The following is a 16206-nucleotide window of genomic DNA, read 5'->3' on the forward strand; positions in this document are numbered from 1 at the left end:
ATATGATAGATATGCCAGGCATGGTGGCTCACACCTGGAATCCCAGCACTTTGGGAGGCTGAGGCGGGCGGATCACCAGAGATCAGGAGTTCAAGACCAGCCTGGCCAACATGGCGAAACCCCGTCTCTCCTAAAAATACAAAAAATAATATAAGCAGCCGCTTTTCCCTGGCACATGGGGTCTCCTCTCTTGGCTTTGGAGCCCCCTCCCTCTGTCTCTGCACAGGGGAGCTTCTTCCATCTTTCTTCTCCCTTCTTTCTTTCTATTAAACTCTCCGCTCCTTAAAGCCAAAAAAAAAAAAGATTTAAAAAATACACATACAACTACAAAAAATAGCCAGGTGTGGTGACGCACGCCTGTAATCCCAGCTAATCGGGAGGCTGAGGCAGGATAATTGCTTGAACTTGAGAGGTGGAGGTTGCAGTAAACTGAGATCGTGCCACTGCACTCCAGCCTCGGTGACAGAGTGAGACTCCATCTAAAAAAAAAAAAAGAAAGAAAAAAGAAAAAAAAGAATAATATGATAGAAAGATAGATAATAAAATAGTAGATTAACAGACGATACATGATAGGTAAGGTAAGTAGATAGATGATAGATAAAATGATAGGTTAATAGGTAATAGAATAATACAATAACAGATGATAGAGATGATATGTAGACAATACATAAAATGATTGATAGGTGACAGACATGATAGCTAGATAGATGACTGACAGAAAGATAATAGATGACTGCCTGACAGATAGATGATAAACAAATAGATGACAGGTAGATAGATATGATAGGAAGATGATAAATGATAGTCAATAGATAGATATGATAGATGATAACGATAGCTAGATGATAGATAGATGATAGATAAATGCATATGATAGATATGATAGAAAGATGATAGATAATATAGAGAGATGATAGATAGATAGATAGATAGATAGATAGATAGATAGATCAATAGATAGTACATACATACTTTCATTTCTATGGCTACTTTTTAAATAAATGCCTAATGTTTTATATGTTGACATATAAAAGCGTGTGTTCAGCCCAACTTCCATTGTGAAAAACAGCATGTGAAATCTAACACCACTCAAAGAATTTGGTGCATTTTCTTGGCTGTAGTGCTGGTCAAGTTTGGCCTCAACTGCCTAGAGTGAGCAGCAGAATCAGGGTAGGCGGCCGGAGCAGTGTAGAGCCCCATCACCCCACTCAACAATGACACAAACATGAAGTGAGGGCTGGACTCGGGAGATAAGAGGTTGGATACAGTGGACAGGTCACCAAGATTCAGAGTCTACCATGAAAATCAGACAGTGGGGCTTATAGTGGAATGGAGAGAGCAGGACCTAGGACCAGGGTGGTGACTCAGTGGGTCCACATGAATACTCATTGATGGTAGTTAGTAAAGAGGGGACATTTTTGTGGAGTCAAGATCCAAGCCGTGGGAACTCTGTCATCTGGTCCCAGAAACTGAGACCTAAAAAGGCTTTTATCTATGAAGAATTTTGACAAAGGCATACTTACTTACCTGAACAAGACAACAGTGTCAAAATATAGAAGATGAGGGGCAAAAAGAGAGAACAAGGCACTGGGTTTCCCCAATATCTTCAAGGGACATTACTAAGCTCTTAAGATGAAACACATCCCATAACCCGCACCATCACCAGGAGATGGGCACTATTCTCATCTTCATCTTAACAAATAAGACAATGGAAGTTCAGAGAGATTAGAGAATTTGGCCAGGTTTCCACAAGCAATAAGCAGAAACACCATTGCTTGTAAGAACCTGATCTATAATAGTGCAAAGGCAGTCTAACACTTATTTACAGTTCAAAGGATTGTAACAAGTAGATTTTTTTTTCTGTGTTACCCCCACCCCCCTTAATATTTTCATTAGCCAGCATTTAAATTATAAGCAGAGGTCGGGTGCAGTGGCTCACGCTTGTAATCTCAGCACTCTGGGAGGCCGTGGTGGGTGGATCACTTGAGGTCAGGAGTTCGAGACCAGCCTGGCCAACATGATGAAACCCCATCTCTACTAAAAATACAAACATTAGCCAGGTGTGGTGACGCATCCCTGTAGTCCCAGCTACTCGGGAGGCTGAGACAGGAGAATTGCTTGAACCTGGGAAGTGGAGGTTGCAGTGAACTGAGATCGTACCACTGCACTGTAGCCTGGGCAACAGAGCCAGACTCCATCTCAAAAAAATAAAAATAATAAAAAATAAATTATAAGCAGAATTTCCATTGCATTTTGCTTATCTGATGTTCACATCTTGGGTATAAGAACACTCATATTCAAGAGCTAAATAAAGTTAGACTCATATTCAAGAGCTAACTAAAGTTAGACACAATTACAGACATTAACACTATGAAGTTCTAGGAAGGGAAACACTAGAAATAAGAGGGGTGTAACTAAAAGCAAATCAAGCCATCTGTTTTCATCTAAGTACGTTCTATTCTTCATTGTTTGGTTTTTGCAATCACATGACAATATTCCAGTGCACACACTGAATGTCTCTCTCCTCTCTCGTAGGCAACAAGAATGGACAAGGCTTCTTAAGCTACTCAACTTCAAACTATGCACAAGTGAATTTTAAAGACACACAGAGCTATTTTACCGGCACAGACTTGGAGTTGTGTCCTGGTAACGTCTACACATCTCGGCCAATGCAAACACATCTCAGGTGTGGCAAAAACCAGGTGCAGCCAAGTGTCTCTACCCTTCGGAGAATTGGCTCACGAAAAATGTCCACACACCAATTCCATGAAAAGTTCATAAAGTATCATTTAAAGTAACAATGTTCAGCACATGTTTTAAAAGTTGCGAAGGAAATAGAGATAAAATAGAAATGGACAGAACTTGATGAAAACATAAAGTCAGTTTGGACTGCTCTCAGAAAAGGAGAACACACTATATTTTTATTTAATAGCTGGAGTTTGGGAACCATCTGAAACTCTGGAACCACTGCCTCCATTTTCCACTCCCCTCAGCCAGGCTAGAAACAGCATTGATTATAAAAGGTAGTGAACACGATTGCACCAAGAAAAATACGTCCATTGTAGCAGCTACTGGGTTAAGGCAGAATGGAAAAATCAGAGCCATCCCATTCTCCTAAGCCAGATTCCCAAGTGCGGAGGAAAGGAGGGGTGGGGGCAGGGACTGAGATTTCCAAGCAGAGTTAACTTCTGGTCCTCATTTGAGCTGGAATGGAGGGACTTAATACTTCGAATCTCTGAGACATTGTCTTTTTCCAACCCAACAGCACTGGATTCCACAAGTTATTCTAAGGATGGCTCTATGGCCAAATAAGCAAAGAAAGCAGAAAGCAGCACAATGTCTGGGGTATGGACAAGATGCCTGCATTATGCTTGGGCCACCATAACAAAGGTCCACAGACCGGGTGGCTTAAATAACAGACATTTACCCTCCCACAATCCTGGAGGCTGGAAGTCCGAAATCAAAGTGTGGGCAGCGCTGGTTCCTCCTGAGGCCTCTCTCTTTGGCTTCTAGACATCGTCTTTTCCCTTTTCCTCATGTTATTGTTCCTCTGTGTGTGTCTGTGCCATCTCCTGTTCTTATAAGGATTCCAGTCCTGTTGGATCAAGGACCACCCTACTGACCTTATTTTACCTTCGTCACCTCTTTAAAGACCCCATCTCCAAATATAGTCACATTCTGAGGTCCTGGAGGTTAGGATTTCAACATGTGGATTTGAGGAGGATACAGTTCAGCCCACCACAGTGCCTCTTCCTGACAAAGCATGTTTCATGCTGAAATGGTATGCACAAGCCACTAGCAGCTGCTTGGCATATGTTGATGGAGAGAGAAGAAATTCAGGCAATAGCAGTAAACATCAGAGCACATAGCAAGAGAGAGCATCGCCCTTGGACCATGTTTTAAAATTTGTTTTTTATCCTCTAAATCAGAGATTGACAAACTAGGGTCCACTGGCCAAACTTGGCCCATCATCTGTTTTTGTAAATAAAGTTTTATCGGCACACAGCCACATCCATTCATTTACATATTTTCTGTGGCTGTATTTTCAACCCAATGGCAGAGTTGAGTAGATGCTATGGAGACCAGATGATCCACTAGGCCAAAGATACTTAGCCAGTTTAAAAACAAACAAACAAACAAAAAACCGGTATGCCAATTCCTGCTCTAAATGATGGGACGTGATTAGAAAGAATTTTATTTAAGAGCATGGCACACTCACATTTATAATTTTGTAATTACCCAAGCAATCCTGTAGGGATTGAACTAGAAGGAAGTGCCAGATGGAAGAAGACCTCAAGGGAGACGGGGCACAGGGATGTAAGATAGGAATTCGTGTGTGAGATAATCGTGGAAGGCTGAAATTTCCTTTAAGACCTAGATAGTAAGTTCTTCAGGGAAAGAAAATTGCGGGGCAGAGAGGAGGCAAAAATGACTTGCAAAGGTTTGCAGCCCCTGATCGGACATGTGGGCAAGAACTTTTCATGGGTGCAGAGACTATTTCTAGGCAGCTTACAGACCTGGCAGGGTGAGGCACCACCATTGATCAGTGTATTAGTCTGTTCTCATGATGCTAATAAAGATATGCCCAAGACTGGGTAATTTATAAAGGAAAGAGGCTTAATTGACTCACAGTTCCACATGGCTGGGGAGGTCTCACAATCATGGCAGAAGGTGAATGAGGAGCAAAGTCACATCTTACATGGTGGCAGACAAGAGAGCATGTGCAGGGGAATTCCCCTTTATAAAACCATCAGATCTCATGAGACTTATTCACTATCACCAAAACAGTAAGGGAAAGACCCACCCCCCATGATTCAATTACTTCCCACCGGGTCCCTCCCACAATACATTGGAATTATGGGAGCTACAATTCAAGATTTGGGAGGGGACACAGCCAAACCGTATCAATCAGTAAGTGATTGATCAGAGCCCAGGGGTAGTCTCAAGAGGATGTGGTTTGCAGAGTTGATCCAGGCTGGCAGCCTGAGGGCTGGTACTGGCCTGAGGCATCAAAGAAAAGAAGAAAGTCAGGTGGAGCTAGTAGACTAAGATCAAAGAGATGGGGAAGGATTATGAGGGTCTTGGGGAGAGAGGGCTAAAGCTAAAGTATTATGGTCAGATGCTGACTGCTATGAAATGTAAGATTTCAGAGATAATACAGATGTTGTGGTGATAAGAAGGACCAGGGTGAAGACATGACAGCTGTCTGTTTTTTAAGCTATTTGAGTGAGGTTACAAGATCACTGCCGGGGAGGAATTCAGCATTGGGACATTCATGTCCAGCTGGGAAGTGACTTTTGTGTTCATTATATCTGGACACAGATGTAGCAATGGAGTCTTCCCAGTCTGTGAAATGGTAGAATCCTAGGTCTTGGGTCCATGATGTAACCTACAAATTGCATCTCCATGTGGTTGGGCATGAATGAGAACCTGTTTCTGATTTGTGACTTCTATTTTTATGGTATTCAAAGTTCCAAGTTTCTTCTCAACCTTATAATTATTCATAGCTCAGGGATTATCTATGGCACTGGAGCAGATCTCATCTCCAAGTCCAAGATTATGGGGATTGGCTCACCCCAGGGGGATGGAATTAGAAGTGACTTCCCCGCCTCCTCACCTAAGATTAAAAAAAAAAAATGAGTCCTATTGGCTCACTCCTGTAGTCCCAGCACTTCTGGAGGCCGAGATGGGAGGATTCCTTAAGCCCAGGAGTTTGAGACTAGCCTGGGCAACACAGTGAGATCTCATTTCTACAGTAAAAATATAAAAATTGGCTGGATGCAGTGGCTCACGCCTGTAATCCCAGCACTTTGGGAGGCCAAGGTGGGTGGCTCATGAGGTCAGGAGATTCAGACCATCCTGGCTAACACGGTGAAATCCCGTCTCTACTAAAAATACAAAAAATTAGCTGGGCGTGGTGACAGGTGCCTGTAGTCCCAGCTACTCGGGAGGCTGAGGCAGGAGAATGGCATGAATCCGGGAGACAGAGCTTGCAGTGAGCCAAGATCGCGCCACTGCACTCCAGCCCGGGCTACAGAACGACACTCCGTCTCTCTCTCTCTCTCTCTCTCTCTCTATATATATATATATATATATATATTAATTACCCGAGCATGTGGTGGCACATGTCTGTGGTCCCAGCTACTCAGGAGGCTGAGATGGGAGGATCCTTTGAGCCCAGGAGGTCAAGTTTGCAGTGAATTGTGATTACACCACTGCATTCTAGCCTGGGCAACAGAGTGAGACCCTGTCTCAAAAAACAATGAACTAGAAATTCTACATAGTAATAATTTTTTTGTGCATACCAAGACATAGACAGGCATCTTCACTCGATTTCCCCATCATTCTAGCCATCTCCAAACACTCACCCCAAAAATCCAGTACCTAGTGGCCAGCAGCAGGATTCATGTCCAGTGCAGGGATTTAGGATTCTGTGTGGTAGGTCATGTAGACCCCACTGTACCCAATGAAGTGGCCAACGCTGCCTTGGGGTGGCGAAGCTTTAAATCATCCCCTGTGGGGTTACACTGTTCTCATCAGTAGGGACGTTTGTCCACCATGTTGACCTCTGCCTCCTCGGTTGGTCCTGACAGATGCTGTGATGGTCTTACTATTGACCAGGGATGTAAATGAGATACAGGAAGTCTGCGGTCAACTGAAGCTTCAGTTTTGGTCACTGTCCCAGGAGGATCCCATGGAAACAGACAAAGGAGAGAATGAGCACAGGTTGGCCATAGGACTGTCCGCGCAGCAGGGTGAGGATGGCAGGAGAAGGTCCCACAGGGAGCAGAAGACCCTTTCCCATGTTATTTGGGACCACAGAAGTCTGTGATTCTGCAGACACTTTGTTGGTGGCACTTTCTTATGGCAACCCTAGTGTTGTGGTTTGAATGTCTGTGTCCTCCCGAAATTCATGTGTTAAGCCCTAACCTTCAAGGTGATGATGGTGGAAGGTGGGGCCTTTGGGAGGTGATGAGGTCATGAGGGTGGAGACTCACAAATGGGATTAGCACCCTTATAAAAGAGACACATGGCCAGGCACGGTGGCTCAGGCCTGTAATCCCAGCACTTTGGGAGGCCGAGGCAGGTGGATCACTTGAGGTCACGAGTTCGAGACCAGCCTGGGCAATATGGCGAAACCCCATCTCTACCAAAACTACAAAAAATTAGCCAGGCATGGTGGCACATACCTGTGGTCCTAGATACTTGGAAAGCTGAAGTGGGAGGATCGCTTGGGTCCGGAAGGCAGAGGTTGCAGTGAGCTGAGATCGAGCCACTGCACTCCAGCCTGGGTGACAGAGCAAGACCCTGTCTAAAAATAAAAAAGAAAAAAAAAATTAAAAAAGATAGGAGACACCATGGTTCATGCCTATAATCCCAGCATTTTGAGAGGTCAAGGTGAGAGGATTGTTGGAGGCCAAAAGCTCAAGATCAGCCTGGGCAACACAGCAAGACCATGTATCTACAAAGACATTTAAAAATTAGCTGGGCATGGTGACATACACCTGTAGTCCCAGCTACTTAGGAGGGGCTGAGGTGGGAGGATTGCTTGAGCCCCAGAGTTCGAGGCTGCAGTGAGCTATCATCATGCCACTGCACTCCAGCCTGGGTGACAGAGTGAGACTCCGTCTGAAAAAATTAAAAATAAAAAAATTAAAATAACCATTTTCATGTTTTTATAGCAAACTTAAATATACATATAAATATATGTACTCAATATGCACTTTTAAATTTTAGTGAAATAAGCTTTTGTGTACCTTATCTGAAAAAAACCAACATTTCTTCCTAAACTCTTCTCTCCTGAAAAACAACAGTAGTAAAGATAATAAGTAGCATGTTTGCTAATTGAAAAAACTAGCACAGCAGCCAGAAGGAAGAACAGCAATGTTGATGTTTAAAGGAGGACTACAATTTTAAGCACGAGCTTGTGGTCAGTTTATTTGCATTGTTTGGCTTTTCCACTCAACATGTTCCAGAAGGTTCTAGATTTATATTGAAGAAGAGTTTTATAAGTTGGACAGTGATGTTATTTGTTTTCGAAAAGCAGTGACACTGATGGCCTTAGAGGCTAGGTACCTTAGAAAGGATATATTTTCATGTGCATAGAAAGATTCCTCCCTCCCTCCCTTCCTTCCTTCACTAAAAGCCATCCTTAGCTCAAGGAGAGGGAGTGCTTCCTTGCTAACAGCCTTGCAAGACACGGGATTCTCCAGGCAGGACGAGGAGCTGAACATTTCCAGAAACCTGGTCAGATGGTTCTGCATTCTTCTAAAAGATTTGCTGAGACACATCCACTTGCTGCCCTCATGGCAAAAGATCGCATAGATCTTGTTGCCATCTTCTGTGTCTCAGCGAAATAGCCCTGAGCAAAATCGCACATTAAATCTTCTGGTTGCAGAGTTAACTCATCTGTTCTCAAACAACCTGGCTTACAGAAGTGGATGCCAATCCAAAGCATGCCCAGAGGGCACATGGGTATTCTTTAATGAGCCAACTTTCATTACATAAGACACTCAATTGTGATCATTGGTGAATTTATCAAGTTGGCAGGGCATGTTTCCACACAGTCATCCTTTTTATTCTTCAGACATCTTTACTCTTTCATCAGCCCAGAGAAACAAATGTTTAGAGACGATGATATTTTCTCAATGTGTACTGCAGTTTACTATGCAGAACCCCTAACATAGACACCAGCTCTCATGGCCTGAATGCTTTGATTACTGTAGATGATCAATTCAGAGGTATTATTAGATCTCAGAGTGAATTGATTTTTGGTTTTTTTTGGAAGATGGGAAAGGTGGAGTTCACCAAGAGTCACTCTGCTCATTCCAAGACCCTCAACTCTCCATGAAGTTCTTCATTTTTGTCTCAAGTAATTCTTTTAAGTATATGTGCTCACCCAATAAAAATCTCTGTCTTGGTGAAATTGTGGAGGTGTAAAGTCAGACAGAGAGAGAAACTCTTGTTGCCTTCTTTAAAGGATAAACATGCCTTTTTCTGATCAAACTTGAGACCCTCCAAAATTAAACTAGCTGTTAAGTGTGTGACCCCAAAAGGAAAGGAAAAGGTAAAAGGAAGGAAGGAAGGAAGGAAAAGAGGGAGGGAGGGAGGGAAGGAAGGAAGGAAGGAAGGAAGGAAGGAAGGAAGGAAGGAAAAGAGGGAGGCAGGGAGGGAGGGAAGGAAGGAAGGAAGGAAGGTAGGAAGGAAAAGAGGGATGCAGGGAGGGAGGGAAGGAAGGAAGGAAGGAAGGGATCTTTCTATGCACATGAAGATGTATCATTTCTAAGGTACCCAGCCTCTAAGGCCATCATTGTCACTGAAATGTTGTTGTTGCTGTTGTTTGTTTTTGAGAGAGTTTCACTCTGTTGCACAATCACAGCTTCACTGCAGCCTCAAACTCCTGGGCTCAAGCAATCCTTCTACCTCAGCCTCCCAAGTAGCTGGGACCACAGGCGCATGCCACCATGCCCAGCTAATTTAAAAAAAAAAAATTTAGAGATGGGTCTCACTACGTTGCTCAGGCTGGAGATTATTTTTTAAACCAAAAAATATGAGAAATCCTTAGCCCCCTACTTCCATTTGTATTTTGCTTCTATCTAAAAAGTACCCAAGTTGTTTAATTTCACAACCTGAAAGCACTGGAAAGCTTTAGATTGGAAATGCAGGATTTCACTTTATGCGATGGGACTAGACCATCACAAGATCTAGTGGTGACTTGAATTTTGATGCCACAGATAATCCTCTTTGTTCAAAGTGCCCTGTTTAGAAATTCATACATCAGGCAATGCAGCCCTTACAATATGTTTTCATTGTGATATTGAGGAAGAAAAGATACAGGAAGGGAGAAAGGAAAAGATGCAAAAAATGAGGAAAACATTACATACTTTATAAAATATAAGAACCATAGGCTGGGTGTGGTGGCTCACACCTGTACTCTTAGCACTTTGGGAGGCCAAGGCAGGAGGATTGCTTGAGCCCAACAGTTCGAGACCATCCTGGGCAACATAGCAAGACTCTATCTCTAATTTTTTTCATAAAAAATAAAATAAAAAATAAAAAAGAACTATGAAAAGAAGGGTTTTTTTTGCCCTCAGGAAACTTGCAATCTAAATTTTCTTCTAAACCCGGATTTGCTTTAAATGACTTGTCTAAATAAACTTATCTTTCCATGTCATTTTTTATCTTGTTTTTTTAGTTGTTGTTTGCTTACTAAACCTAAGCCTGGGGGCCAGGAGTGGTGGCTCACACCTGTAATCCCAGCACGTTGGGAGGCCAAGGCAGGCGGATCACTTGAGGTCAGGAGTTTGAGACCAGCCTGGGCAACATGGTGAAACCCTGTCTCTACTAAAAATACAAAAATTAGCTGGGTGTGGTGGTGAGTGCCTATAATCCCAGCTACTGGGGAGATTGGGCAGGAGAATCACTTGAACCTGGGAGGCGGAGGTTGCAGTGAGCCGAGCTCGCGCCACTGCACTCCAGCCTGGCAACAAAGTGAGACCCTGTCTCAAAAATAAATAAATGAAGAACCTAAGCCTTGAAGAAATAAATCTTTTAAAATTTCATTATGATTTTACTTTTGCTACCAACAACACCAGCCTTCTCTAAAAATCTAACTTTTGCTTGTCAACACTCAAAAACAACATTGGTGGAAGCCAAATGTACCTCAAAAGATGAATTTCATGCTTTTTTAGAGGAAAAAGCCTCATGAACTGTGCTAGGTATTTTGATGATCAGCTCTTCGCATGGACATCTTGTCATGAATATTTATTCATAGGACATTTTCTTTTCTTTTTTAAAGGCTAATTGATATTTTCATCTGAGCCAAACAGTAAATGTGGCATAGGGAAAGTTGTGTCTCACTATTGGATTCCTGAGTTAGTGAAAGAAAAGAGCTTGTATCTTCTAAAAGTGGAGGTGAATTATGTTTATTCTATAAAATACATAATAAATATCAATAATAATAGATACATAAGAGTCATAATTCTCTATGGGAAGTTATTTCTATAGCGGAGTAAGAAAAATCTACTGAACCTCCCTCTCTGCCACCACAAATAAACTTCCACGTCCCCAGGGAAAACCTTGTTAAGTGGTATACACTGCCCTCTTGTGCAGACTGTTTAAACAGAAAAGATCTCACGCACCTATTACATAAAACATTTTTTAAAGCTCTGCATAAAGGAGGAAGACAACTAAATCTGCCAAGGTTTCTTGTTGATTTATTATAGCTGTTTCATAATCCACAAAGCCATAGTCAGCAATACCCGCAAACATTCTGTATACAAACGACTAGCTAGGTTTACAGTTCAAATGAGTATAAACTAAATTGTTTCTGTTTCCAAGAATTAAGCAACCATGGATTTTTTTTAAATGTTCCAATTCGCAATGTTCAAATCTATGTGGTACACTTATCTTTTAAGCGTTTTGCAAGATGCACCAGCACCACGTATAATATGATTCGCCAGCCACAAAAGAACCAGTCATGCCTGAGATTTCTAGAAAATTTTACAATGGTTAAAAATGTCTCCACTGGGGCGTTTGTGTTGGTTTTCCTGAAAGGCATGGGATGGTCGTGCAGCCGATTCTCATAACGTCGGGATTGCTTTCTCTCTCTCTCTCTCTCTCTCTCTCTCGTCTCCGTCTGCAAAACAATGGAGCAGGGTTTTCCTGGCTTCTTCTGCTTAGCGCCACTTTTCTTTTCTTTTTAATTCCCAGGTCCACAAACAATTTTTAGAGCTAAAAGAAAAGGTATGTGGCAATACTTAATTGCTGGACCCATGAAGCCAGGAGGATCTGAGACTCACTCCGAGAGCCAGGGACTTTCCAATGCGTTGGGAAGCAGCCTCTGCAGGAAGCTCGGCATGGGAAAAAGCTGTACCGGCTGCAAATCGTCCCTTCTGGTTCCGGCGAGTGACAGCAGAGGGTGACACAGATGCTCACATTGTCAGTGGTCCTTGCTGTGTTCATCTGACCCTGCGGTGCTCCACACAGGCAACTATGTCCCCAGGGACACTCGACAATGTCTGGAGATAGCTTTGGGTGTCGCAACCGGGGTGGTTGGTGCTCCGGGCATCTGGTGGGTGGAACCCAGGGACACTGCTCAACACCCTGCAGTGCACAGGACACCCCACCCCAGAGGATCATCCACCCAGCCTTAAATGTCCACACTTTGAGAAGGACTGTACTAGAGGATTGATCTGTAGCATTCTAATCCTTATCAGAATCCCAACCTCCATGGTGTCAAGGGAGAAAAACGTGTGTCTCTATTCACGAGAGAAAGAAAAGCTGAGTATCAGGCAGGACTGGGGTGTGCGGAAGCAGGTGAAGTGGAGCTTCAGAAGAGTGGCCCCATGGGCTTTTGAGGGGACTTCTCTGTTGGGTCGTCTAAATCTTCATCCCAAACTCCCCAGTCAATATGTGGTGGATTCGTGTGAAACAAAAAGAGACCAATCGATTTATCTTCATCACCTAAGAGGCCATTCATTATGAAGTAGGAGACCCAACTTGACTCCGGAGGCAGGGACTTAGACTTTGGACCACACTGAAGACTAGCTAAAATAGGGAAGTGGCAATAGCAATAGCTCCTCTCCATAAGACACGCCCACCAGTGCCATGTCAGTTTACTGTTACCATAGCAACACCTGGAAGTTACCGCCCCTTTCTGTGGCAATGATCCAAGAACATGGAAGTTACTACTCTTTTTCTTGAAATCTCTGCATAATCTGCCCCTTAATTTGCATGCCATTAGAAGTGGGTATACATATGACTCCAGCACTGCCTCTGAGCTGCTGTTCTGGACGCACTGCCTATTGGGTAGCCCTGCTCTGCCAGGAGCAGGACCTCTGCTGCTGCTGCTGTGCACTGCCACTTCAGTGAAAGTGGGGGTGGCTCACGCCTGTAATCCCAGGACTTTGGGAGGCTGAGGTGGGTGGATCACTTGAGGTCAGGAGTTCGAGACCAGCTTGGTCAACATGGTGAAATCCCATCTCTACTAAAAATACAAAAATTAGCCAGGTGTGGTCATGTGCACCTGTAGTCCCAGCTACCAGGAGGCTGAGGCAGGAGAATCACTTGAACCCTGGAGGTGGAGGTTGCAGTGAGCCGAGATCACGCCACTGCTCTGCAAGTTGCTGTCTAACACCACGGGCTCACCCTGAAATGTTTTCCTGGGTGAAGCCAAGAACCCTCCCAAGCTAAGCCCCCAGTTTGGGGGCTCACCTGCCCTGCAACAATTAGACAACCACAGTCTGAATCAAGGACTCTCTGAATGGGATAACACATAGGTTCCTACGACAGCGAGGAAACTTCTAGAATTGCCTGGGGCTAAGGGTTTCCCCAGGATGTGGGACCTTCAGCTTTAAAACCACAAAAGTCCTGGGCAAACTGTAACAGACAGCCAATAAGCACAGTTATTCTCCAGCCTGGCTCCAGAGGTCTTCGCTAGGCAGCAATTTAATTTTTAATATGGAAAATATGGCTAAAACTTATTTTTATAGTATTTTAGGAAACAGGGCATCATTATCTCACATTGCAAATTTAAATCCCAATAGATATTAGACCTTCAAAAAATAAGAATAAGGAGAATTTGCTTAAAATTGCAAATAGAGGAATGCTGTCATGAACTTCCTACTTTGTATCTGTCATAATTCTGAATCTAAATCACAATTAGCCTGCAACTGACACTGTAATAGTCACCAAAATTTGCAATACCTGCACAGAGTATAGTCAAAGAATTTCAACCAAATCCTTTCTGTTGATCCAACAAAATAAAATGTATACAGATATGAAGGGCATTGGAGAATGGTGAACAAGTATACTTGGCGTGGCTGGAGCAGTGGCTCACATCTTTAATCCCAGCCCTTTGGGAAGTTGAGGTAGGAGGATTACTTGAACCTAGGAGTTCGAGACAAGCCTGGGCGACAGAGCAAGACCCTATCTCTAAAAATATTTTAAAAATTAGCCAAGCCTGGTGGTATCTACCTGCAGTCCCAGCTACGCAGGGGGCTTAGGTAAGAGGATCGCTTGAACTCAGGAGGTGGGGGCTGCAGTGAGCTATGACTGCACCAATGCACTCCAGCTTGGGTGACAGAGTGAGAACCCCGTCTCTAAAAAAAATAAACTTAGGAAAATAAAATAAATAATAAAAAATGCACTCCAGCTTGGGTGACAGAATGAGACCCTGTCTCTAAAAAAATAAAATTAGGAAGATAAAATTAAATTTAAAAATAAAAAAGATACTTGGTGAATTTCTCCTCCACAGGGGAGCTGGCTCCCAGAAGGAAAGAAAGGCCATCCACATTCTACAGATGAACAAGTTCACTCCTCACTGAATCCTGTGCATTAGCTTCTCAGATCATCGCAGGATCTCCTTGACTGGAAAGTCAGAAACAACCGTGGCCATAACTACCACCATCAAAACCAGGAATACACTCCTTGCATTTAGGATTAGATGCAGGTTTTGTGGGAGCTGAAGCTTACAAAATTTCAGAAGTCATCTTTCAGAAAATGAATTTGAATGTATCTTACTTTGGGGGATTTTACAAAACTGTACAACCATGTGCAATGAACTGAATGCTTGTGTCTCCCACAATTCCTATGCTGAAATCCTCACCCCCAAGATGATGGTGTCAGGGGGTGAGGCCCTTGGGAGGTGATGAGGTCATGAGGATGGAGCCTCCTGAATGGGATAGATGAGAGATCAATATATACATAGACACAGTTAGGAGGAGATGTCACTTAATAACATGCAAAAGTATCAAAATACAATTGCAAATATATAATATTCATAAAATAAAACATATATACTTACTTTTAAAAAAATACACTATGATTAAACTAGTCATAAAATCAACAACATTCTAAATGTCTAACTAGTCATAAAGTTACCTGTTATAACTTTTGTCATTATTGCATATCAGAGTTTCCCAATCTTGGCACTATTGATATTTGAACCAAGTAATTCTTTATTATGGGAAGCAGCCTGTGCATTGTAGGGTGTTAAGCAGCATCCCTGGCCTCTACTCACCACATGCCAGTAGTACTCTCCCCAGGTGTATTAACCAAAAGTACAAGCAGACATTGCTGAATGCCCCCTGGGGTTTGGGTATGGAGTTCAGAATCACCCCAACTGACAACCACTGACATAGACCTGTGACTTCATTTCCTTACCATCTGTGATTCAGTTTCTCATAGTGTGTGATGGTGAATTTCATATGTCCACTTGGCTAGTGTGATGGTGAATTTTATGCGTCCACTTGACTGGCGTGATGATGAATTTTATGTATCCACCGGGCTGGTGTGATGGTGAATTTTATCCACAGTGCCCAGACGTGTGGTCAAAGGTTACCCTGGATGTTACTGTGTGGGTGTTTTTGGATGAGATGAACATTTCTTTCATGCGCGTCCATGTGAAGAGACCACCAAACAGGCTTTGTGTGAGCAACAGGGCTGTTTATTTCACCTGGGTGCAGGCGGGCTGAGTCTGAAAAGAGAGTCAGCGAAGGGAGATGGGGGTGGGGCCGTTTTATAGGATTTGGGAAGGTAATGGAAAATTACAGTCAAAGGGGGCTGTTCTCTGGTGGGCAGGGGCGGGGGTCACAAGGTGCTCAGTGGGGGAGCTTCTGAGCCAGGAGAAGGAAATTCACAGGGTTAATCACTCAGTTAAGCTGGGGCAGGAACAAATCACCATGGTGGAATGTCATCAGTTAAGGCGGGGCAGGGCCTTTTCACTTCTTTTGTGGATCTTCAGTTACTTCAGGCCATCTGGGTGTATATGTGCAAGTCACAGGGGATGCGATGGCCTGGCCTGGGCTCAGAGGCCTGACATTCCTGCCTTCTTATATTAATAAGAAAAATAAAATAGTGTTGAAGTGTTGGGGCAGTGAAAATTTTTGGGGGGTGGTATGGAGAGAGAATGGACGATGTTTCTCAGGGCTGCTTCGAGCGGGATTAGGGGCGGCGTGGGAACCTAGAGTGGGAGAGATTAAGCTGAAGGGAGGTCTTGTGGTAAGGGGTGATATCGTGGGGATGTTAGAAGAAACATTTGTCGTATAGAATGATTGGTGATGGCCTGGATACGGTTTTGTATGAATTGAAAAACTAAATGGAATAAAAGAAGGAGAAAAACAGGTATAAAAGGTCTAAGAATTGGGAGGACCTAGGACATCTGATTAGAGAGTGCCTAAGGAGATTCAGCATAGTCCTGCCAGC

General features: G+C 43.3%; 1 annotated feature.

Moving 5' to 3' along the window:
• Window positions 14879-15830: an enhancer, noted in NCBI's record as "NANOG-H3K27ac hESC enhancer chrX:3470673-3471624 (GRCh37/hg19 assembly coordinates)". NCBI's record gives its function as "activates a minimal SCP1, AML or CMV promoter by ChIP-STARR-seq in primed H9 embryonic stem cells {active_cell/tissue: H9 hESC(primed)}" and the evidence as "EXISTENCE:reporter gene assay evidence [ECO:0000049][PMID:30033119]".

The sequence above is a fragment of the Homo sapiens genome, chromosome X, assembly GCF_000001405.40.
Source record: "Homo sapiens chromosome X, GRCh38.p14 Primary Assembly".
NCBI lineage: Eukaryota > Metazoa > Chordata > Mammalia > Primates > Hominidae > Homo > Homo sapiens.